At 39.2% G+C, this 26,389-nt stretch overlaps 1 protein-coding gene across 1 annotated transcript in view, besides 3 other annotated features; it reads left to right on the top strand.

The window, feature by feature from the left end:
* Positions 1 to 26,389, top strand: part of NALF1 (NALCN channel auxiliary factor 1) — a 703,987-nt gene that overhangs the window by 127,536 nt on the left and 550,062 nt on the right. The window lies entirely within an intron of this gene.
* Positions 6,906 to 7,075: an enhancer, noted in NCBI's record as "experimental_31927 CRE fragment used in MPRA reporter constructs". NCBI's record gives its function as "activates a minimal promoter by MPRAs in K562 erythroleukemia cells, with activity observed for both the introgressed and non-introgressed 13:108385319 variant alleles {active_cell/tissue: K562}" and the evidence as "EXISTENCE:reporter gene assay evidence [ECO:0000049][PMID:34662402]".
* Positions 17,786 to 18,080: a silencer, noted in NCBI's record as "tiled region #14817; HepG2 Repressive non-DNase unmatched - State 24:Quies". NCBI's record gives its function as "represses a minimal TATA promoter and a strong SV40 promoter by Sharpr-MPRA in HepG2 cells {active_cell/tissue: HepG2}" and the evidence as "EXISTENCE:reporter gene assay evidence [ECO:0000049][PMID:27701403]".
* Positions 17,898 to 18,067: an enhancer, noted in NCBI's record as "experimental_31889 CRE fragment used in MPRA reporter constructs". NCBI's record gives its function as "activates a minimal promoter by MPRAs in K562 erythroleukemia cells, with activity observed for the introgressed 13:108374327 variant allele {active_cell/tissue: K562}" and the evidence as "EXISTENCE:reporter gene assay evidence [ECO:0000049][PMID:34662402]".

The raw sequence follows: 26,389 nt of genomic DNA, 5'->3' as shown, positions 1-26,389 counted from the left end.
AACTAGATGGTCCCATCTTGGGGGCATGGAAGACAGTGATAGATCATCAGGCATTAGATTCTCATAAGTAGCACACAACCTAGATCCCTCACATGTGCAGTTTACAATAGGGTTTGCGCTTCTATGTGCATCTGATGCTGCCACCGATGCGACAGGATGCAGAGCTCAGGCGGTAATGTGAGCACTGGGAAGCAGCTGGAAATACAGATGAAGTTCCGCTCGCTCACCCACTGCTCACCTGCTGCTGTGTGGCCCCGTTCCTAATGGACCTGGGGTTGGGGATTCCTCCACTATAGAGTTCAGTTTCTTGAGGTCTTAATAAATTGCTATTATACTTTGTATGTTCGGGATGGCATTAGTCCGTGTATTTGTCCATGGCATTAGTCATTGTGTATGTATTTGTTACTATATTTTCCTGATGAATCAGTGAGGGTCAATATCAGTAGGTGAGACAATTTGTTCAATGTATAGATCAAAAACTCCGCAGCCAGATTTTATATACACATGTATATAATATATAATATTATATATTTTATATGTTATATATGAATTTATACATATGTAATATGTAATATTTTATCTTAATTATATATTTATATATTATATATGAAAATATGAAAAATATATATATTTTTATTTTGCTTTAAGTTGTGGGATGCATGTGCAGGACGTGCGGGTTTGTTACACAGGTATACATGTGCCATGGTGGTTTGCTGCACCTATCAACCATCATCTAGGTTTTAAGCCCCGCATACCTTAGATATTTGTCTCGATGCTCTCTCTCCCCTTACCCCTGACCGCCTGACAGGCCCTGGTGTGTGATGTTTCCCTCCCTGTGTCCGTGTGTTCTCATTGTTCAACTCCCACTTATGAGTGGAACATGCGGTGTTTGGTTTTCTGTCCCTGTATTAGTTTGCTGAGAATGATGGCTTCCAGCAAACATGCTCTTTGATTATAAAACTGAATTTCAGTTTTCTCATTGAAAATTATACTGAACTCAGCTGGGCGAGGTGGCTCACACCTGTAATCCCAGCACTTTGGGAGGCAGAGGCAGGCGGATCACGAGGTCGGGAGTTTGAGACCAGCCTGGCAAGCATGGTGAAACCCCATCTCTACTAAAAATACAAAAATGAGCTGGTCATGCTGGCAGGCACCTGTAGTCCCACCTACTCGGGAGGCTGAGGCAGAATCACTTGACCCCAGGAGGCAGAGGTTGCAGTGAGCCGAGATCACACCACTGCATTCCAGCCTGGGTGACAGAGCTAGACTCCATTTCAAAAATAAAATAAAGAAAATTTTACTGAACTCTTTTGAAAATGTATTGATTTCATTTCTAAGTGTCCTTTTATTGACCCATTCTAAGAATGAAGGGGGAAAGTTTTTAATAATCTACTTTTATTACACAAAGTGATATTGTAGTTATTTCTTTGTTTATTCTCAGGGTATTAATTATTTGATCCAAATTGACTGTTAGAAGAATGAGAAAGTGTCTGGGGACAAGGGAACGGGGAGAAAATGGGTTATTTTGTGAAGTCCAGGCTTAAGATTGGAATCTTATGAGACTAACATAGTTGTTCAATTGGACCAATGGATTTAAGATCATGAGTCCACAGAATGCGTAAATGCCACTTAGAACAGGAAGTGGTGACCTCTTATCCAGAAGAAACTTCTCATAGGCATGAATCAATATCAATTGGGGGAACATTCTAGAAAGTGTTTTCGGTCACCTCCTTTTCTGGCAAGACATAAATGAACTGGATATCCTATTAATAATTTTAATGGGCATTCCCAAAAATGTCACAGTTATTCTTAGAAATAAACACTTAAATGAGACGGATGATAAGTGACCAATGGTGACTTATGTTTCATTTCACTGTACTTCTGCAGTAAAATAGTGCTGACTGCAAAGAGCCGTGTTTTTAAATAGTTTTGTGTCTTAGTATCAAACTGACTGAATTAGACCCATCTTTGCTGCTTTTTTATGCTTGTATTTATGACTCTGAAAAAAATATGTGTTTTCCAAGTGATTTCACATGTTTTAATACCCTTCTGCCCGAATTGTACGTGGATGCATTTTCTATTCTTCGGAAAGATGATTCTGACTCTATATTATAAATGGAAGAAGGAAATTGTTTTTATTAGGCATACAGAACCCCAGACAGCAGGGTACTCTGCAATACAATGGGTCATTTTTCAACAGTTTATAGCTAACTGATATGCTCCTACGAAATGCAGAAGTAAATGTACAAATAATTAGGAAATTTGTTTCTATTCCCGTCCCTTGAGCTTCTCAGAAAGTTAGTTATGCAAAAGTATGCAATGAAGCTACGTAAAATTTACATTCTACTTTGACTCCTTTTTCCAGGAACCCCAGCAATTTTTTTTGGATTAAGAAAAAATGATTATAAAGTAAAAAATATAAATGGCTAATAAACATGGGAAATAATCACCTATCATTTCCAAAGTAACGTAAATTCTACTAATGAGTGATCTTCCAATTTTCCCATCAATTTGTTTTAAAAATCAATTAGTTTTCAAGTGAGAATATCTGATGCCATTTAGGATTCAGTGAATAGGAATTCCACATCACATTGGAATGTTAATAAAACTATTTAAAATAATTTGGCTTAGTAAGCTTATAAATATTCATCACTTTTGACCTAGGAATTTTGTTTATTGTTAGCTAGACTGTAGAAAGAACCACCACCAACTGCTGTGAAATGGTGTCATGAAATCATTAATAATAATCATAAAATACTGGAAATTATATAATGGCTACTAAGAAGACACTGGTGTTTCTCTATCCTATACTCATGCAGCTATTAATAATGCCATTTACGAAGACTTAATAATGTTGTTTTAATGTTCAGAATCAAAGAAGAACATGGAAAAGTTGATGTGGTTCTCAGCTGTCTTCCAAATTGGTTGAACAGATAAAACACCCAGTTATAATTCATGGAAATATGTGTAATTAGAAAGGCAGCACTGCTCCAATGGTTGGCAGGCCATTAAGGTTTCCTCGCTGTGTGGGAATCCCCTGCCAAGTTAGTCTAGGAAAAACAATGTTAATATGGTGGAGCTGCATTCATTTTGTTTTAGCTTCAAATGTTGGAGAAGGAGGCTGCTGCTGTCTACTTCAGCACTTCTGTTGTAGCCTTTCTTTTTCTCATCTATCAGTGCCTCTATACACCCCAAATTAGCTATGAGTCTTTGATTCACTCTGGCTTTTTCCGTAACTTGTTAACTAAAAGCACTAGCTTAAATGACTAGAATTTGTTGGCAGCAGGATTGAGCTGAAAAGAAGAGACCATTTAAACCCCCAAACATTTGAATGCTAATATAACACCCAAATTGAACAGTGGGAGTGTAAAATATAATTTGGTGCTGTGCTCTGTAGTTTGGAGTTCTTTCGAGAACTAACAGTATGTAGGTTTCATAGAGATTCATAACTAAGTATTTTAAGCACAAAGGAATGAGTACGTGTGCTGCTTATTTGTGCTGATTTATTCCCACCTACTGAGTTGCAGCATCTTATTTTCAGGGAAACCTACTGACAGCAGCAGCAACAGGGGTGTAATCAACCTGCATCAACAATTCAACAAGCAAACTCCAACAAGAAAGCATTATGCAACCTAAGAAATGCCGCCGCCGCCACTGCACTCTGTTACAGAAGTGTCCACGTTTCTAACAAACACAGTGCAGCTGTTTAGATACAGCTTATTAGGTACACGCGCGCGTGTGTGTGTGTGTGTGTGTGTGTGTGTGTATGTGTGTGTGTGTATGCATGCGTATGCATCTTGGTGCAATTGTCAGAGAAGCCTTGAAAATATCATCTTTGTTTTGTTACATTTTATTGGGCTGTAAGTCACATCATGATAACTTTGATCCAGTCAGCGCATGTCTATTGGTTTAGCCCTCAAAGTCTTTATAGTCTAGCAAGGAATATAAAATCAACATAAAATAATGTCAGACAAGATAAAATGAGGCAAATGCCATAAGAGAAGCATATAACTCAGAGCAGAGAAAAGTTACTAAAAAAATAGTTAGAAGCTCAAGAATGCACAATTCTCATTCTTTAGTAAGACTGCCTTAAGTATCTTATTAGCTGTGATGATGTAATTTGCAGGCCAAAGCCTGCGGTATTTCCCCATTACCCCTACACCAAGAAGAGTTGGTGGGTAAAGAGATGCCAAAATAGAGGCAACTACCTTTATCTGTTAATAATGTAAATTCAAATCTATAAGACTGCAGCTATTTGTACAATATTTACTGTTTTTACTAAAGCGATTGGGTATTTCAGTCCAAAAGATTCTTTTCTGATCATGACTCCTTAAGGGGTCTGTTTTGAATTCGTACGGATATCACATTTCTGTTTACTTCTTGCCACTTACACCTCTTCCAACTTAATCTCAGAGAAGAGAGAAATTAAACATATGTGTGCGCAGATGGGGGAATTTACAGGTGAGTTTTTTCTGATGTTATAGTACCTTCCTGGATAAAGAGAGCTAGTCAGCATTCTAAAGCCAGCCGAAACAGGCAAGCTGCCAAAACTCAAATCCTGGCTGAAAACATTTGGCCATTCTCTGCAAATTAATTATTTTACTCATCCAACCATGTTATATTCCTGATCACCTGGAATTTGGAAATACTCGTCATTTAGTCTGTCACAGAGGCTATTGGCTTCAGGATGCCTTTACTACCCAGGTTTAGTTGTCATATGTGGAGTACAACTTAACAAAACAGAAATTTATTATCACAGTCCTCTTTCCTGGGACTCTGAAGTGACTGTGTGGTCTGGGTTACTATTTTTCACCACAGGCCCATGCAATTGGATTTAGATCAAGTCTTTAGTGTTTCTGGGCTCTCAGCCCACGAGGCTTCCTGGTGGAATATTGTATTCTTGGTGGGAAGGCAGGCTCTCCAATCTGCAACTCCATTTTTTCCTCCCAGGAGCAGTAGTCTTTGATCCCATGCATTCCTAAGTGGAGTTTATTTCACTGGTTAGCCACCAATTTACTTCCACTTGTAGAAGGGGATTCATAGCAATGTCTAAACGTGGGGCTGGAGTACAGTGGAGAAAGGAGAGCAAAAGAGAACTCATTTGGGGGATCTAATACAGTATTACTCATACAAATTCTTAGTATATGGTGCGTATACTGTCAATGGTAGTTATCATCATCATCATTATTAATGGGAGCCCATTATGTGTGCTGTCTTATTTCATCTTCACAATATTCACATGAAATAAGCATTATCTGTACTTTATGAATAAGAAAACTGAGGCTCAAAGACATAAATGTCTTAATCAAGTCACCCATCTATTATCAGAAAGAACGGGGATTTGAAAATGCATCTTCCTAGAGACAAAACTTGTTTCCATTATGCCACAGATTTTACTATGTACCACGGCTTTAAAAATAATAACTCTTAGGAGGACTTATTTATAAAAGACTCCTGGTATTGCAGGAGGAAAGTAAATATATTTTCATGACTCTGCATCTAACTCTGGGTTCTTTCCTTAATTCCATTGTGTGTGTGTGTGTGTGTGTGTTTTTTTTTAAAGGAAAAATACCCATAGATTTTCTCTTGCCTCAGTGCAACATTGCAGATGATCCCTAGTGATGACCTTTCCCAAAGTTACATTGTAGAATTCATTGGCTAATACCGGCTGATACCACCGCATGAGGTGCATAATTAAGTGATGTGGTGGCAAGACCAGATTCATTATCGTAGACGGTCATGTGCCCTGCCATGACATTTTGGTCAGGGACAGACTGCATATACAGTGGTGTGCCCATAAGATTATAATGGAGCTCAGCTAAAAATTCCTATTCTTGGTGACATCATAGCCGTCATAACACCGTAGTGCAACACATTACTTTTTCTATGTTTAGGTAAGTTTCTATACACAAATACTTACCACTGTTTTGCCGTTGCCTAACATATTCAGTACAGTAGCATACTGTACAGGTTTGCAACAGGCTATACCACACCGCCTAGGTATGTAGTAGGCTGTACCATCTAGGTTCGTGTAAGTAAATTGTATGATGTTTACACAATGAGAAAATGTTCCATTTCCCAGTTCATATCCTCCTTCTTAAGCAATGCATGAGTATCTCTTCTGTTCTTATGCTTTCCTCTTCCAGGAAATAGATATAAGTTGTGTCCTAGCAACAATTTTTTGCTTCACATAATATCTAAAGATATCTAAATAAATTAAGATTCACTAATGACTCTAGTGGCTTTTAATGCCATGAGATATTCCTACTAGTTCTTTCTGTCATTGGTTTATTTTCATTATGTAGATTAGAAATGAATAAAAATTACTTCCTTATTTTACACTAATACTAATAAATGCCTCTGATTTTTAGAGAACTGTAATAGATATATGATGTGTTACTCTCTTTGACTATTTGTATAATTTTGTTTTTTAAAGATACATCTAGATTAAAAACTACTGTTGTAAGCTGTTGAAATCTTCCATATGGCCAAAATTCTGTCACTGCCTATAGAAATTCCAAAAGAAGAAAAATAACTAAGATTTAAGCCATTCTGAATACACAGGGGCCCTCACAATTGTTACAGTGTGAATTTACTCTCTTGATAATGGTGGTCCTGGAGTGTCCAGAGAAGAAATAGGTGGGGTCTGTTTAGGACAAGAAAAAGAAAGTGCTTTTGCAATGTGCTGCTGTCACTGCTGGAGCCTCTCACTTCTGCCTAGGTTGCTAGGCTCAGACTAGACAGTTTAAGTCGGCATAAGGCATAAATGCTAAAATGTTAATAATGGATTAGTGATACTGGCACTTTTTTTTATCCTACTAGAATAACTTACTAACCTAAAGAAATGTCCGATATATTTACAGGATTTGAGTGAAGATTCTTTTAATCCAAGTGTCCCTTCTTTTCCAGGGTGCCGATTTATTTCATACATTCTTTATATTAATCCATGAAATTAGCACAATATGTTTACCCACAATGGTGCCGTCACCCCAAACCTCTTACCTTTTTCTGAACTTCCTTAAAATCATTAACTTAAAAAAGTCAAGTTTCTTTTTACCAGACGGGTAGAAAGTTTGTCCATATGTGTCTTTATGGACGAAGAGTGAAAAATGAAGCATAGATTCAATGATTAGGACCTGTTGCATATATTATGTGTCTGTGTGTACTTTGCAATAGGTTTATGTTACTCTGCAAGCTTATCTATCATAGCAATGAAAGTAGGTAAAATATAAGAGAAACCTACAGATCTCACTATGAGATTCACAGATTCACCTGTCTTCTCTAGTCCTGTATAATACCTAAGAGAAGCTGCTTGCACTTTCATGACACATATGCCCTAGATATGTGGGTGAATAACGATGTGGTTATTCCCATACAACTTCTGAGGAAATGAGAAATATTCAACAACCATTGGAAGACTGCCCTAGGACTTGCATAGAGAGAAGGACATAGGTACTGCCACGTCTAAGCCCAGGACAGCATGGCTGTCCTTAGACTAGACAGTTTGGCTTTAAGTAACTAATACATTTTTTCATGTTCTCATGTTGCACTTCCAGCAAATGAAAACCCACTGTGTACACTTGCACACCATGTAGACATCAAGTCAAATGGAACTGAAATGAGTGCAAACCATATATGTGTATGTATAGGTAATAGATACCATGGGTATATTGTTTTATATATAAGTATTCATATTATAGAGTATAGCATATATATGGTATATAGTATATAGAGGATGCATGTAGTATACAGTATATATTATACATAGTATATATAGTAAGTATTAGGTTTCAAGTGAATGAAATCTGGAGAAACTTCATGAAAAAGAATAAGCAAAGCTGCTGCCCAGGGGGCTGATAGAGAGTCAAAGATTCCTAGAAATGAGGGTGATAATATGTGAGAAGTTAATAACCTACGTGGACTAAGTCAGTTTGGAACAGCAGGGCCCCAACAATTCTAAATTCCACTATTTTTTTGCTTGTTCTTCATCATACAAATTCCTACAGTCCTAAATCTAGGATAGCTCTATGGAGAATTCTGTAGGACAAAGGAAGCAGCAGAGAAAGAGTTTTAAGAATTTCTAAAATTTACTGTAGCATAAATTAATGTGTGGATTATCCAATAGCAAAGACATGGGATCAACCTAAATGACCATCAATGGCAGGCTGGATAAAGAAAATGTGGTGCATATACACCATGGAATACTACGCAGTCATAAAAAGGAATGAGATCATGTCCTTTGCAGGAACATGGATGAAGCTGGAGGCCATCATCCTTAGCAAACTAATGCAGGAACAGGAAAACAAATACTGCCTGTTCTCACTTATAAGTGGGAGATAAGTGATGAGAACACATGGACACATAGAGGGGACTAACACACAGTGGGACCTACTTGAGGGTCGGGGGTGCATGGGAGGGAGAGCAACAGAAAATAATAACTGTTGGGTACTAGACTTAATACTGGGTGACAAAATAGTCTGTAAAACAAACCCCTCTGATACAAGTTTACCTATATAACAAACCTGCACATGTACTCCTGAACCTAAAATAAAAGTTAAAAAATAATTAATTGTGGATTCTCAAGTACATTTTCCTCAGTTATTACCCCAAAGTATAATGTTTTATTGTGAATGAACATATATATAAAAGCTACTGTTGGGAGTAAAAAATGATATTTTTGCCATGTTAACTTGAAGTGAAATTTCCTTTTAGTACAAAAAGATACCATTTTAATCATCTCTTTGTGAAGATATGAGATACTTTCCACACTTCTGTGCAAAGATTCCTTCCACATCTTGTTTTCTGGAGAGCTAATCAGCATACTAGCTGCCTAAGAAAGACCACAGCAAAAACAACATTGCATAATGCTCTAATGCTCTAACATTCCTCGTTCCTGTAATTGATACTGTCTGAACAGCTTTCATGCTCACTCAACATCTTCTGTAGGCAAATCTCTCTCAGAGATCGACATTCCCGTAGCACCCAGATGGAGTGTAATGCTGAGCACTTTATCCCTTGTCTGAGCTGAAAACCTAGGGGTAATTTTCAGCGCTTATATGCTATGTTGTCTTTAATGGGATACAGACTCAAGCCAGGGATTTCGGCATATGCTGTCAGAAGTATGTTGCATCGTTCCTGAAGTATCACTAGCACTTATTTGAGACTGTTACTCATTTATTCAATTATAATAAAAGGTTAATTGGTGGTGATTCATTTGGAGATGGTTGCCTAAGTCCATGCAGTCATAACAGGTTCCCCCAAGACATTAAAGAAGTGTGACTTTTTTTATTGAAAAGTACATAGAAAATGACTTCCATGTGATGTAAAAATTGTTTCTGAGCTGTCATAGCTGAATACAATGAAATACTGAATGTCTTCTTAGAAAAGCAAGTATTAGTTTGGAACATTAGGAATTATTAGAGACTCATTTCGATTCCAGCCAATAAATTAAATCGATGAACACAGAAGTACAGGGAAAGCATTATAGTAAATTAAAGTCTCAAGTTTAATTTACATTGTGCTTAGATATTGTTTTTAATTAAGCCACTCATGTCAGTCACCAGAAAAATGGAAACTAATTTGGGAAGCAGAGTCCTGTATAATTTTTGTATTACAGAGGATAAGACTAGGTTGTTAGACAGGAGAGTATTGATTGAGCCTGAATCCCACTGTGATATGCAAAGTGTGGGAAATGCATTCTTGTATCTGCAATATTTTCAATAATTCTGGGAAAAGAAATCACTTTATTTAGAGCAAAGTAGCAATAATACAAATAATGTAATGATTCTCGACAGTAGTTCTGTATTTAGAAGCCTATTTTGCAGATATGCCCTTTCATTTTTCTTGGTACAGACAGATCTTTGAGCTTCCCTGTAGCAAATTTCGTAGCAGACTTAGAGAAGAGATGTTGTAGAGATAGATTATGTTATTGATAATCAGCAGAAGTGACTTTTATTATATTGGCCAAGAGTTCTATAGATCTAGAATATGTAATATTTTTTACTACATTGCAAAGAGGAGACACTCAATAAATATTTTTGGTAGACCAAGTCATTTCTTCTAGGCATATATCTATCAAGGTCCATCTAATAAATAACTAACTGTATGTGGCCACGGCAGCTACACCCTCCGAGTTAGTTTAATTCATTCAAGACTATTTTTTAAATTAAAAATGCATCAAAGGGTCGGGTGCAGTGGCTCATGCCTGTAATCCCAACACTTTGGGAGGCTGAGGCAGGTGGATTACCTGAGGTCAGGAGTTTGAGATCAGCCTGACCAACATGGTGAAACCCCGTTTCTACTAAAAATACAAAAAAATTAGCTGGGCGTGGTGGTGGGCGCCTGTAATCTCAGCTACTCAGGAGGCCAAGGCAGGAGAATCGCTTGAACCTGGGAGGTGGAGGTTGTGGTGAGCTGAGGTCGCGCCACTGCACTCCAGCCTGGGTGACAGAGCAAGACACTGTCTCAAAAAAAAAAAGCATCAATACCTAACATTTTAATAGCAACTTTATACATTACATTTCCATATTTATTATTTTTTTTTCAGTGGCACTCTACAGTGTCACAACAAAGAACAGCATCCTATTACAGATTTTAGAGCTAAAGGAGGAAGCAGAAAAGGAGACTTTTAATAGGCCAAATTTTGTATTAGGTCAGTAATTGGCACTTTTTCCATAAATTGTCAGATGGTAAATGTTTTAGATTTTGCAGACATTGTTTTGCTTGTTTCACATATTCTTCTTTATGTTTGTTTATAAGTATATTTTTATACATTTTTTAAATAAAAAATATCCCTAGATTATTGCTGTACAAAAACAGATGCATTCAGACATGGAGCTGTAGTTTGCCAGCTTGATCAAATTCAGTGTGTAGTTGGTGGTCCATAGAGTGAATATTTTCTCCTCAAAGGCTATTCGCTGCTTCCCCTAAAAAGTTATTTAAATTGCCATTCTATGCAATGATGAACAAATACATCAAATATGGGCAACTTCTTAGTCTCAAGAAAGTCAAAATGTCTTCCAAGAATTGCATGGCTTTATCTTTCTCTCTCGTTGTAGCTAGTTCAGCAGATGTCTTTTTGACCTATTGGCTATGAGCCTTTATCTTGCCCTCAAACTTGACATCTCAGCTATGCCAGCCTCTGACGAAGACAGCATTTTCTCCATTTCAAACCAGGTTGTACAGTTCAAAGAGGAAAGTCTCTTCTGCCGTCTCCTCAAGGCTGGATTCTTTTTCTTTTTTATTTATTTATTTATTTATTTATTTTACTTTAAGTTCTGGGATACATGCGCAGAACGTGCAGGTTTGTTACATATGTATACATGTGCCATGGTGGTTTGCTGCACCCACCAACCTGTCATCCAGGTTTTAAGCCCCGCATGCATTAGGTATTTGTCCTAATGCTGTCCCTCCCCTTTCCCCCAACCCCCTGACAGACCCCGGTGTGTGGTGTTCCCCTCCCTGTGTCCACATGTTCTCATTGTTCAACTCCCACGTATGAGTGAGAAGATGTGGTGTTTGGTTTTCTGTTCCTGTGTTAGTTTGCTGAGAATGATGGTTTCCAGCTTCATCCATGTCCCTGCAATGAACATAAACTCATTCTTTTTTATGGCTGCATAATATTCCATGGTGTATATGTGCCACATTTTCTTTATCCAGTCTATCATTGATGGACATTTGGGTTGGTTCCAAGTATTTGCTATTGTAAATAGTGCTGCAGTAAACATACATGGGCATGTGTCTTTATAGAATGATTTATAATCCTTTGGGTATATACCCAGTAATGGGATTGCTGGGTCAAATGGTATTTCTGGTTTTAGATCCTTGAGGAATTGCCACACTGTATTCCACAATGGTTGAACTAATTTACACTCCCACCAACAGTGTAAAAGTGTTTCTATTTCTCCACATCCTCTCCAGCATCTGTTGTTTCCTGACTTTTTGATGATCACCGTTCTAACTGGCATGAGATGGTATCTCATTGTGGTTTTGATTCTTATTTCTCTAATGACCAGTGATGATGAGCTTTTTGTCTTTTCATATGTTTGCTGGCCACATAAATGTCTTCTTTTGAGAAGTGTCTGTTCATATCCTTTGCCCACTTTTGGATACAGTTGTTTGTTTTTTTCTTGTAAATTTGTTTAAGTTCCTCATAGATTCTGGATATTAGCCCTTTGTCAGATGGGTAGATTGCAAAAATTTTCTCCTATTCTGTAGGTTGCCTGTTCACTCTGATGATAGTTTCTTTTGCTGTGCAGAAGCTCTTCAGTTTTATTAGATTTCATTTCTCAATTTTGGCTTTTGTTGCAATTGCTTTTGGTGTTTTAGTCATGAAGTCTTTGCCCATGCCTGTGTCCTGAATGGCGTCACGTAGGTTTTCTTCAGGTTTAGAAGCTGATGAAATTACAGGAACTGGTGCCAAAAGCAAGGACTGTAGCAGAGTCCCACTGCTGGACTCAAGGAAGCCTTTTATCTTTCCCTGTTGTCCACAGAGTATGGGTTGTCATGTGAGGCAGGTCCTAGAGGGGTGTACAGCAGCTCCCAAGTTCTGAAAATCCTCAGCCTATGGAACTCTCATGAGAAGTGCCACCACACTCAGAATTTCTTCCTGGAGACTTTTTGGGAATAACTCAAAGAATGTCACATAGATATAAGGAAATAATGCATCTTACTCACTTTAATGTTTTCAGATGACATTCTTACAAGATTATTTTAGTTTGTTTCTTTATGTGTATTATCACATTTTTTTTTCATGGCAAGCTGTGCCTTGGGCTTCTCTTTTAGCAAAAGACACACTGGTCTCGAGTCTGTGCCTTAAATATGCGATATCCTTTACTACCATGGGCAGTCTCTTGTATCATTGAAGGATCACGCCTGTAATCCCAGCACTTTGGGAGGCCAAGGAGGGAGGATCATGAGGTCAGGAGTTCGAGACCAGCCTGACCAACATGGGGAAACCCCGTCTCTCCTAAAAATACAAAAGAAGGAGTCTTCATTTCACACACACACACACACACACACACACACACACACACACACACACACACAAGAATTTGCCGGCCGGGCGTGGTGTCTCATGCCTGTAATCCCAGCACTTTGGGAGGCCAAGGAGGGTGGATCACCAAGAGATCCAGACCATCCTGGCCAACATGGTGAAACCTCATTTCTACTAAAAATACAAAAATTAGCCGCATGTGGTGGCCTGTGCCTTGTAGTCCTAGCTACTCAATGGGCTGAGGTAGGAGAATCACTTGAACCTGGGAGGCGGAGGTTGCAGTGAACAGAGATAGCGCCACTGCACTCTAATCTGGGCAACAGAGTGAGACTCCATCTGGAAAAAAAAAAAAAAAAAGAATTTGCCTTTACATAGCATAAGATCCAGAAACACATAAGAGGCAGTACTTTCACAAAACTTTAAAAATGTCTGAATATACATGAGGGCAAGAGCCTTTCTTTACATCACATAGCTTCATGTTGAATTTGAACACCTTAGTATCATGTATCTAGTGTGAACTCGGTTTATTCAAATAAAAGGAATTTTTTATTTGGTTTTGTGAGACAGCATAATATAATTTACTTGGCTTCAAGGACATAAATATTCCATCACAGATTAAGAAGAAAAATGAGAAGAGATGCTGAAATGTAAGTCCCACTTCATCTTGTTTCTGGCTAACCTATTTGGTAAATATGAAAGGACCCATTTCTCTTGTCACTACTGGTAAAATAAAAAACATAAGAGAGTTGCATTTTTGCACATCAAAAAGATAAAGATGAAGAAAAACTAATAGAATGAAATGAAAATTGTCAATTTTTGTGTCTTTGTATTAATTATCACTAAGACTGAATAACTGGCAGTAAGCCCTAGATGACAGAGAAATAGGTCATAGGGAGAGAGAGACAGAGATGAGGCCACATGCAGGCACACCCATCCACCCCACTTAGTAGGTGCATGGATCCACCAGGTGGTCACAGAAAGCGAAAAATGTCTACTCAATTGTCACTGCTCTTTCTTCAACACCAAAGTCTTTATGATCAAAGAAACACCCAGCTGAATGGGTTTTTCCTGGGATACTCGGCAATATGAAAAAAAATTACAAAACCAAAACGGTTGAATTTCCTTGTAATCTGGAACTTTATGGCCACTCATATCAGGTTAAACAAAAAAATGTATCCACTGCTTTATTTTTTGTCTACCGAATACAATCACGTTCTAGGGCTGCAATATGTCAGTGAGTTGAATTAAGGCAGTTCAGTTCACTTTTTTTTTTTTTTTTTGAGAGACAGAGTCTTGCTCTGTCACCTAAGCTAGAGTGCACTGGCGTGATCTTGACTCACTGCAACCTCCACTTCCCTGGTTCAAGTAGCTGGGACTACAGGCGTGCGCCTCTGCGCCCAGGTAATTTTTGTATTTTTTAGTAGAAACAGGGTTTCACTATATTTTGGCCAGGCTGGTCTCGAACTCCTGACTTCAGGTGATCTGCCCACCTCGGTCTCCCAAAGTGTTGGGATTACAGGTGTGAGCCACTGCGCCCAGCCCTACTTCACTTTTTCTACTCTTAGCAATTGTCCATCTTGGCAAGAATAAAAATTACATTTTTTTCCCTCATAATTCACAGCACATCATAGATATTATTATAATTACTGGGCAATTAGAATTTTAAAAAAAGTTTAGTAGGTTAAAATGTAGTCCACAAAACTAATGTGTTTATAAAATTGATCCCAAACAGAAAAATTTCTCTGAAGAGAGAAATACAGAGGAAGCAATTTGAAGGATTTGTCTTAAGTTATTGAGCTGTATTTTATACAAAAATAAATCTGATTATCATGAGGCTGAGGAAATGTTTATTTAAAAAGTTTTAAAATGTGAAACAACGGTCAATTGTATTTATTCGTATTTTTATCCAGAAGTAAGACAAACACAAAATATTTATCAATAAATTATCTATTAACTTCTATCTCTGGTTAACTTCTTAAGAGTGAGTTCTTGGAAGCTAGAATGAGAAGTATCAGTGAAACGAACCTCTGAGTTATATTCATTGTTTGTAGAGCTAGAAATGGACTTCCTAGAAAATACAGGTTTGGGCCAGGCACGGTGGTTCATGCCTGTAATCCCAGAGCTTTGGGATGCCAAGGTGGGTGGATCATTTGGGCTCAGGAGTTTGAGACCAGCCTGGGCAACATGGTGACACTCCGTCTCTACAAAACAAAAACAAAAACAAAAAAACCACAAAAATTTGATGGGCATGGTGGTGCATGTCTGTAGTCCCAGCTATTCAGGAGGCTGAGGTGGAAGGATCGCTTGAGCCTGGGAGGTCAAGGCTGCAGTGACCCGAGATCATGCCACTGTACTCAAGCCTGGACTACAGAGTGAGACCCTGTCTCAAAAACGAGCAAAGTAAAAGGAAGGGAGGGAGGGAGGGAGGGATGGTATATGAGTGTTGTATACATTGTTTTTCATTTCAGTCAAAATCTTGAAGCAGACAAACTGAGGAGAAAAATCATTTCGTAAATGAACGATTATATTCTGGGTTTTATCAAGATATTTTACAACATTAAAAAGAAATAAGATAAAAATCAGGATTATGTATTTTTCTTCTAGAAGGTGATTTCTTTTTTAATCATTTTTTTTTGTATTAGGTAAAACTTTAGCAATATGAGTTAACATTGTGAAGCAGGCATGAATTTCAAAGTAGGAACAATAAAAGTGAAGAATTAAAAAAGAGCAAAATTTGAAACCTTGACAAAAGCAGATCTTAAAAGGGAAAAGCAACTGATGCAGAAGTGTTTGGAAATTGAGGGTAAAAAAATAGTCTTCAGTTTATTCATTAAAAAAATGGAACAAGCTTCCTATTTTCATCTTTAATCTTCTGTGTGTTCTTTGTAAGCAGTATTACGTCTTTGCAAATTAATTTTCATCTTTCTCCTGTGAAAAGATGAATCCCTTATTTTAACTTAAATTATTTAGGTTAAAATTTAACTTGGAACATAACTTTATCAATGTAGAAATCAAATATTTGCATGAAAAAATTAAAGAATATTGTTAAATATAACAATATATAAGAATATTTGGGCTCTTTGTACAGTTTCTCATGTTAAAATTAGATAAACAGGATGAAATGATTTATCTAACTAGAAAAAATTAGGTAAAAGTTGTAAGCTAGACAACAGTTTCACTCCGTGATTTATCCAACCTTCTTTAACCTGAGTTGGACCTTTTATTTTCTTCCTTCTCCACAAGTCTACTTCGTTTGCATGTGCGCTGTAAGAGGTCGTTAAGAAAGTTTATCGGGCCCTATTGCCCTCAGTCATATGTTGAATCAAACACTTCTTGTTTCAGTATATAGTATGCACTGGCCTGCAATATTCTCTCCTGATGACTTTTTCTTATTTTTATTGTTTTCCTTTTAGCCCCCAAGTTCAGTATGATAATCTTTTGTACTTGGTTTAAAACCCTCTTTAAATGTCACATGCTCTCATTCATTCAGCAAATAATTATTGAATAAAAATGTGTGTGTATACCGTATGTGTGTGTGTGTATGAATTGGGTGATAAGACTATGAAGTTACATAAAAAAATGATGGGAACACAATTTAGACAGGGTAGTCAATCTTTGAGCTTGCCAGGTCTTAAGTGTATAATGCAAGCCAGGTCAAACTTCTAAAAATAGAACTCAGAGTGTAGACCACACCAACACATCTAGAAATTGGAATCTCAGGGCAAAAGATATCTAGAAAAGTCAGGAACCACAAAAGCAGCAAGGGATTCTGGTACTGGGTCATCATAAACATGTATCCCAGGAATCGCATGCTCAGTTTATCATCTTCTTGGGGCCCAATCCGCTGACTGAATGTGATGAATGAAGGCAATAATTAATCAGGATGTATCCCAAGGAATTTAAGATTTGGATGTGAATTCTAACGAGATGGCTTTTAAGATATTTTTTCAGTTTTGAAAAATTCTGATAAATACGTGGAAAATTCTACATTTTCTAATTCTGAATTGTGTAATAGTCATGATAGCTTCTGTTTAGGGCCTGCACCAGCATTGTGCTCAGAGCCGCCATGTACAGCAATGCCTTACGCTTGGGACCCAGGTGAGAGGGAAGGTGCGCGCTGAAACCCATCCATGTGGTGACAATCTGAGCTGACTGGGCTGAGTGCTTTCTCTGCAGCATCTGTGATTCTTATGGCAACTCTGAAGTCACATTTGATTACTTCCATTTTACAGATGGAAATGAGGGGTGGAGAGGTGCCCTGACCCCCCACGAGTGGAGATAGCCCAGGTTTGATTTAAGGTCTCTCTGGATCCAAAGCCTTTCTCCCTCACTGTCCTAGGAGAGATGTAGGCAACCGTTTTCAGAAGGAGCGTGGTAGTGTTGCTAGGGGCCCGCTAGGGAGGCACTGGCAGGAGAGGCTGCACTCCTGTGCCATTCCCAGTCAGGGTGGCACTGCTTCCATTCCTGTGCCCAGAACACCCAAGACAAGGTGGCCAGAGCAGTGCAGGAAGTACCTGAGGCTCCTCATTTTCAGTGACATGAACCATCAATCATCCAGTTTTCTTGGTGATAAAATAATTATAACTTTCATTTCTGGAATAGATATCAAGGATTGCGACTGCTCTGTGTATCATGCACCAAATTCTATGAAATGAAGTTAACACATGTGAAAAGGATCTAGGTTCTCAGAGTTTCTCCCTTAAAGAAGGGAGAAACTTAGGTTTCTCCTTGTTTTCTTTAATTTGGATTCTGAATACAGAAAGGATATGAGTGACGCATACTGCTTTTTCCTTTATGATAAGACCATGTGTTCTAAGGTAGATTTACCGAACTTTTAACCTGCTCCCCTTTCTCTCCCTCCCTCCTCCTTTCTGGATTTAGGTCATTTTCTGCATAGAATTCTACCAGGATATCTCTATTTCCTAACTTGCTGAATGCTTTGTCTTAAGTTAATAATCGTCTTAAACTCAAAGGCAAGAGGGGGGGAACCCTCAGTGATGTTTCTTATTTATCACTAGCCAGCATGTATGAATAAACAGAGCACGCCAAAAGCCTCGTTCAAAAAAGTTTTAAAATATTCATGAATCTGCGGTAGGGATGTGTTGTGATGATCAGACATCAGAAATCAGATCTCCTCACCGCGCTGCAGTTCCCTCTCCTCCGGGAGAGAACAGAGAGGATTTTATATATTCTGCTTGACACCGCTAGGCAGTACGATCATTATAATGAGAAGCAGAAATGCAAATGGGGGATCTCCCCAGCGTCCATCCCTCCCTGGGAATTAGGTGTTTGGATTCTGCCAGAAAAACAGCCAGTGTACCTTCTGGGCAGGTCCCAGAAGAGGGAAATCCCGTCAAAGGGGATTGATGAGCCTGCCTGCAATTTCCTGCAGCGTGAGGCCACACGGAGAGAGAGAAAGCCAGATTTGCACTACACCGTGGAGAGAGCTGTAGTCTCATATTGTTTCAGAAACATATAGAACTTGAAATAATTTTACCTGCTCCATTCAAAAATGTAGCTTAGCATTGAAAATCCATCTGTAGGTATTGACTCTGCCTCCCTGCACAGCTTATATGTCAAAATGAGCAACAGTTGTGTTCTGGAAGGACTGTCACAGTGGAGGGGCTGGACTGTGAGGGCTGGATATTCCTTGTTGCTGGGTGCTGGCGGAAGATGATGTTTTTGTCCCCTAGGAACCGGTATCATTTTTACATGTATTAACTTCATTTCATACAATTTGGTGCATGATACACAGAGCACTCACAATCCTGTCCTTCATGTCTATTCCATAAATGAGAGTTATGATTATTTCATTACGTGTGTGTGTGTGTGTGTGTGTGTGTGTGTGTGTGTGTGTATTGAGATCTGATGACAACTAGTTTTAAACTACTGTCTGTTTTGGAGTGAATAACTCAGTTCTCAGGTTCCAATGTACCATTCATGTGATATCCACGATGCCCACAGAGAGCCTTGACATCCATATGGATACAAATGGATTTAGCAATAATGTTTTTGTTAGCTCAGTCTTTGGATCAGATGCGGCTGTACACAAATAGAATGTGCTGGATCATCCTGCCAGCATGGATAAAAATGCATATATGCAACCTTTGGCGTAAACAGATGTGTTTCAACCTGTGTTTATCCAGAAGGAAGGAGTAAACACTACCTTCAGCTCAGCTTGATTGTGCTCTAAAGTGATCGGTCAGTAAAAGGACGTGGATTAGAACTACAGTGCAGGCAGTTGGGTAATGCTTGTGAAAATAACAAATTCTATCTGGTTCCCTAGCTAAGTTCCTTTTATTTTATTTATTTGATTTGGCTAATTGGCTGCTTCAATAGTTTAGGTGTTCAAATGCAGAACTTAAAAACTTAATTCTGCACATGTTACTGGACTCCATACAATACTCACTGTGTATTATTCTGGGAAATATGCTTTTTTTTTTTTTTTTTTTTTTTGAGATGCAGTCTCACTCTGTTGCCCAGGCTGGAGTGCAGGGGCGCAGTCTTGGTTCACTGCAGCCTCTGCCTCTTGGGTTCAAGCGATTCTCTTGCCTCAGCCTCCCAAGTAGCTGGGACTACAGGTGTGCGCCACCGCGCCTGGCTGATTTTTGTATTTTTTTAGTAGAGACGTGTTTCACCATATTGGTCAGGCTGGTCTCGAGCACCTGACCTCATGGTTTGCCCTCCTTGGCCTCCCATAGTGCTGGGATTACAGGCATGAGCCACCGTGCCCAGCCAACTATGCGTATTGTAAAATTGAATAGAGCACATTATTGTCTTTAAGGAGATTAAGGCAGATAAGTCATGTACATGTTTAATGAGTGGCAAGTTCGTAGGGTGGAGGCCACCAAAACGCTATGGAATAAAGTATTGTCTAGTTGCACGTGGGCAGGAGAGGCTCCATGGAGGTGATGACAAGTAAGAGAAGCCAGAAAGATGGGAGTATATTGGGGTGGTGACAAAGCGAGTGGAGATGGGGAGGGCATTCCAAGCAAAGAGAGAAACATGAGCAGAGGGAACGGTGATTATTGAGGAAGAAGAGAGAAATATGATTGACATTGTCTTCAGGAAAATCAGCCATGCAGTCATATTTGCAATGAAGTTCGGCAAGGGGAGCCCAGGAGCACCCATTAGACTGTTGGTATTATTTGGGTTAGAGGCAATGAAGGGTTGAATGAGACAGGAGCATGGGAATCAATGTTGGGGGAAAAAGGAAAAGAGTAGAATATGACTTTGAGAGTAGAATACAGACTCTCAAGCCTGGATCCCAAGGTAGCACACCATTATGAGCAATGAGATATTCAGAGGACAGGCACAGTGATTAATAGTTGGAAGTGAGAGAAGAGCCGTGGTTTCATTGTAGTTGTTTGCTTTGAGTTCTACTTGGACATCTACTATAGATGTCCAAGTAGAAGTATGGATTTGGAGCTGAGGATGAAGTCAGGAAAGGATAAATAAATTTTGGGAATTTCTTTACAAAGTGACTATTGAAAGGGGAAGCACGATTGTGTCAGTGGAAAAAAAAGTACAACTGTAGAAGGAAGAATGGTGAACATTTATGATAGATTAGTAGAAACAGGAGACTTTAGAGAGATTACATGGGGGCAATGATGGAAGCAGTGGGCAAACAGGAAAGGCCTTGTTGAGACAGCTAAGAGAATATTTCAAAGAACTGCCAGTGGTCAACAAGATTAAATACTAGAAAATTCAAGAAACCTTGCTAACTAGAAAACAACAAGGTAATTGATAATCTCTGTGATATTCAGCAGATTTTCATTAGTTACAGAGAGAACATCACATGGAAATAAAATGGTTATTGAAGAATCTTTTTGGTGAACAGAATATAAGTAATTATGATAATGATCATTTACTGAGTATCTACTAGGGACCCAGGCACTCTACGTAAATTATCTCATTTAATTCAAATACAAGCAGTTGAAACTATGCTTCTATTTAGATGAAGAATTTGAGATCAAATGCTTATGCAAAACCACCAAAGGTTTAGCTCCTAGCATTGTGCAAAAGAATATTCTGAGATGAAGGGAATGTTCTATATCTGCCTGGTCCAATGCAGTAGCCCCTGGCCACATGTGGCTATTAGGTGCTTGAAATGTGGCTAAGGTGACCGAGGAAATGAATTTTTAATGTTATTTAATTTCAACTTGTTCAAGCTTGAATAGCTACAAGTAGCTATTGGCTGCCATATTAGAAAGCGCAGGGCCTGGTTCAGAGTAGGGGTGAAATAAGTATTTGTTGAGTAAGTCCATTGAAACCCAGAGTTGGATCTACATCACACTGGCTTCAAAGACTGTGTTCTTTCAACTACATGGGGCAGCTATTCACCAGTTTCACACAACTCTTTGTTTGGTGCTCATTTAAAGCTCTAAATACTCCTCTCAAGAACTGCCTTTTCCTCATCTAGTCCACAAAATCCACCTATTATTTTTTCTCCTTGCTCAAGCCAAGCTGAGATGATTTTCTCCCCAGGAAAAATATCTGAGGACACAGTTCGCTAGGATAATCATAGGTGTGGTAGCCACTAGGTAGGTGGGGAGGAAGTGGGATGAGAGTCTTCTTCCTTTAATGAGGCAGGTTCTGTGGGAACTGGTTTGGTGCAGTTGCTGACTGTGATGGTATGACGAGGATTCTGACTTTTAGGGACTACTCCCCGTAAGTCCATGACAATCTTATCCGGAACTGCATAAAGCATTATAACTGAGCTTCTGAGACAGAGCAATAGGGTCATAACAGAGAGAAAGAACATCAAGGTCAGAAATCTAGAGTGGGAAAGACTCTAGAAGGGGTCAGGCAGGGAGACAGTGCCATCAAGGACACATGTTTACAGCAGCAGGGCTCTCGCCTCGGGATGAGGGATACGCATTCGCTGAAGAGACACCTGGTTTCCAATCTGGTTCCTTGCCAGAATGTAGGAACCAAAAGCCAAAGCCAGTTTTATCAGCTGGAACAACAGCAGGTGGAGGGCTGGGTCTAATTGAGAGTGAGTAAGCTTAGTGAGCAGCACTGTGGACCAGCGAGTTGGGGATCTGAAAAAAGAAAGAGCTAAAAATTACTTGGCGAAGAAAAAAGAAAAGTTGAAGCAGATCTAGATACATTATATCCCAATCATCTCTGTGCCCTGATTGTGGCTGCTTCAGTAACTAAGATCAGGAAAGGATAAACAGAGGCTAAGATTGGAAATTTGGGATGGGGAGAAAGAGAAGGAAGCCACGGAGGGTGCTGCCTTACTTTCCCCACTCCTGGCTTTCAGAAGGTAAAAACCTTCCTTTTTTTCCTTTTCGTTTTGAAAATTAGTCTTTTTCTGTGTAGATTAAGACTGATGCATCTTTTTTTTTTTCACCTCTTGATTATAGAACTGCAGTTCCCTGAGCACTGGACGTAGCTTTTTACCTAACATCTCCGAGATACCTTAATGAACACATTCTGATTCCACATCCCAAGGGTTTCTCGACTTCTCCTCTTTCACTTTTAATGATTTTCCAGCTCGCTGGCCTTCAGTGTGCATCAGGATCATCTGGAGGACAGGTTAAACCAGAGCTTGCTGGGTTCCACCCCCAGAGTTTCTGATTCTGTGGGTATGTGCTGGGACTTCAGAATTTGCATTTCTGATATGTCCATACGTGATACTCATGCTGCCGATTGGGGCACCACACTTGGGGAACTCGTAGATTAAAAACCTATTGGATTGATGCTAGACAGACTGCTTCAAATACTGAAATGTTTGTCAGCTAGAAGAGAGATTTTACTCATGTTTATTCTCATTGGATACAAATAGAATTAATGAGGGAAGGGTAAAGGAAAATCTTACTGGCACAACATAAAGCACCTAGGTCAAAGAGAGGAAGCATTGACATGGGATATGTGGGTGATGTGGGTGAGCTTTGAGGACAGTTGAAATATCTACCTGCTAAGCACACTGGAGCAGGTGTTAGCATGGGTATGCAGTTGGAAGAGATGATCTTTAAGTTTACTCCCAACTCTGAGAGTCAGTGATTTTGGTTTTTCCAAGGTCAGCATTTTTATTCAAAGTATCCTGGGCTGTCTTCTCTTTACGGAAACCCCGCCATCAAAATAACAACCAAAAAAGGTGTAAAGATGTGTTTCTCTTCATAATTCCACTCCTCTACCACTGCCGTCAGTAACAAGAGTTGGTGTCTGAGCGCTCTTCCTACCAAATTCAACATTTATGACACTCTCCAGGGAGGCATGCAACAGCTGTGTGATAACCTTATCAGGCATTAAAGACACTTCATGTAATGAAAAATCCTGTGTTTAAATATAGTCACATCTCCTGTCTCCAGCTAAGCTGGACACTGCATATCCACTTTGGGGAAGGAAGTATTTTCAGCATAATGCCCTGTAAAGATTTGTAAATGTGTCACCTGCCTACATGGACAGCGAAGAGAAAGCAGTGGCCCAACAAATTTGTCTGTAAATGTAAGTGCAGAGATTCTCTCCCACATCAAGCTGTGCCCCTGGATGAACTGAAAATGAGATTGGGAGGGAAAGCTAATCAGGCGGTCCTCTCTCTTGTATTCGGCATTAAGCACTGATGAAGCCTTTGCAGGGCGGGTTAAAGAGCAATATATGGCACCGGGAAACAAAACATGCTCAGACGTTTTTCCCTGGGTGAATTTTACACCTGTCTGAAATCAGGGAGCACTGCTCTCGAGTGGTTGAAAGTTCTCTTTTCCAAATGCAAAGACTGAATTTTGAACCTTTCAGCACTCTCTTATCTTTGGTAATAACTCCAGCTAGAAAGTGCAAATGAGTCTGACGCCTTTGAGAACATCTGAATGGCCTTGATGGAAGCATTGATGGGGGATCTAAGGTATCAATGTTGCCTTGCAAGGTGACATAAATGGGTTTGAATTACTGCCTGAGATGGACACCCTAAGTTTAACACCCTAAGTTTCCTTCTTAGCTTCCCAAAGTTGTTCCATACATCGAACTTAGCAAACTCAGAAAAAACAGCAAGCATACCATCCTCTTTAACTGCTCCATTTTACTCCTCTCTCTCTGGAGTGACACATGTAACTATAAGGAAAGAATTCTATCCCCCTTTATGAAACCTGCATCCCAATCTTCTGAACTTTTGTTTTCATTTTAAAAACATTTCAAAAAAAGGTTCCTTATTGCTAATCCAGCATAATTATTTGTGCTCATATGGGGCTGAACACATTGGCAAGTGTAAAGACGTGAGAGGCCTCCGTGCCAGAAGGGCACACTGTGGTGTCGTGCTTCACAGCCATCTCTGCTGAAGGGCTCACTTTTCCCCTTGCATTGCAACCTGTCAAGGTCCTCCTGTACGTGACTCTACAAAGCTCACACCACAGGCGGCTCATCACATGAATCTGAAACCACTCCAACTCTGCCATAGCCTCTTCAACAAAATGACTCCCTGATCGGGCACAGGAACTCCATAGCCTTACTAAACTGTTATAAAAGGCCGGGGACGGTGGCTCACGCCTATAATCCCAGCACTTTGGGAGGCCGAGGTGGGCAGATCACCTGAGGTCGGGAGTTCAAGACCAGCCTGATCAACATGGAGAAACCCCGTCTCTACTAAAAATACAAAATTAGCCAGTTGTGGTGGTACATGCCTGTAATCCCAGCTACTCAGGAGGCTGAGGCAGGAGATTCTTTTCAACCCGGGAGGCGGAGGTTGCTGTGAGCTGAGATCATGCCACTGCACTCCAGCCTGGGCAACAAGCGTGAAACTCTGTTTCAAAAAAAAAAAGAAAGAGAGAGAAAGAAAGAAATTATTATAAAAATATTTTACAATAACTGAAAGAGTAGAATTGGAATGTTTCAAACACAAAGAAATGATAAATGCTAAATGCCGATTATCCTGATGTGATTACTACACATGATATGGCTGTATCAAAACATCACATTCATCCCATAAATATATACACCTACTATATAAGCACAAAAATAAAAAAATTCAAAAATGAGAGAAAATGCAAAAAAAAACCCTTCTAAACACTTTCAATTTTGTTTCTTCCCTTGCTACGAATAGTAACTCATTGTTAATATCCACATTTGGAATAGCACTACTGTTTATGGTATAACCTGGTTAATTTTTCAAATAATTCAAAATATGAAACTCAGGTGTGGAAAACGTAGGTGGAGCATGATGTCATGGATACGGCACCTAATTTTTTAGAATTTCTGTGCAGGAAAAACAATGACACAAACACATCTGTATCAAACTCATAGGAAATAAACTCTTAAGTGTCAAAACAGAGCACAAACAAAAGAGGAAATGCTCTGTTCAGATTAAAAAGTTTCCCAATTTTATCTTTCTTTTTTTTTTTTTAATAAAGCCTCACTCTGTCACCCAGGCTAGAGTGCGGTGGTGCAATCTCGGCTCACTGCAACCTCCCAAGTAGCTGGGACTACAGGCATGCACCACCATACCTGGCTAGCGTTTATATTTTTGTAGAGATAGGGTTTTACCATGTTGCCCAGGCTGGTCTCGAACTCCTGAGCTCAAAGCCATCTGCCCACCTCGTCCTCCCAAAGTACTGGGATTATAGGCGTGAGCCACTGCGCCTGGCCTGGTTTCCTAATGTTTTGAGAAAGGGGTGCCTTAGGGGGATTTCATAGTGTCAAGTCTCATGGTGTGAAGCCAGGAAGCAGAGGCCAACAAGTGATCTGAAGGACAGCAGCGCTGCAGCTTGTGAATTCTAAGCATTATACAAATGCACTTATGTGTCATATTCAACCATAAATGGAATCTTTGTCATGAAAAAGATTCTTTATATCAACATATGTCATCACAAAAGAGCTTCTTTCTTTGATAACATACAAGTGAAAGTTTTTGAATTTTGATTTTCTATTCATTATATGGTGAAGTCAACTGAAATCAGAGAGTTGAAGTAGCTTGTGGCAGGCCTCACTGGCAGTGAAAGCTAAAAGCAGGACTCACATCCGAGGCTTCTCATGAGCCCCTTTCTTCTCCTCTGTTATTTCTTTTCCTTCATCTATTTTCATTCTTCTTATTTAATCGTTTAATAACACTTCTCTCCTTCAGTCTCTAAAGCATACTGCCTATAATGCATTTTTTAAAATTCAAGGTTTTGTTTCTAATCATGCAGAGCTGTACTTGCGCATTAGGAAGGATTAGGATATTGGGTGATGCTGTGAATTGCCCCCTTTTGAAATAAAACAGATACAGAAAAATTACTGATAAATATATAGCACATATGTATGTGCTGGTTACTTTCAGCTCCATTTTATCATTCTTTTGCCTTCATACTACATGGTTTACTAAGTAAAACAGAGACTGAGTTGCCAAATTGAGGTAAGAGTATAATAGCACAATGTTAAGAACACCAGTTTGTAAAATCCACTCTTAAATCTATTAATGTG

Source organism: Homo sapiens, chromosome 13, assembly GCF_000001405.40.
Source record: "Homo sapiens chromosome 13, GRCh38.p14 Primary Assembly".
NCBI lineage: Eukaryota > Metazoa > Chordata > Mammalia > Primates > Hominidae > Homo > Homo sapiens.
The sequence above is the reverse complement of the archived record's forward strand: the minus strand, read 5'-3'. Positions and strand labels throughout refer to the sequence as shown.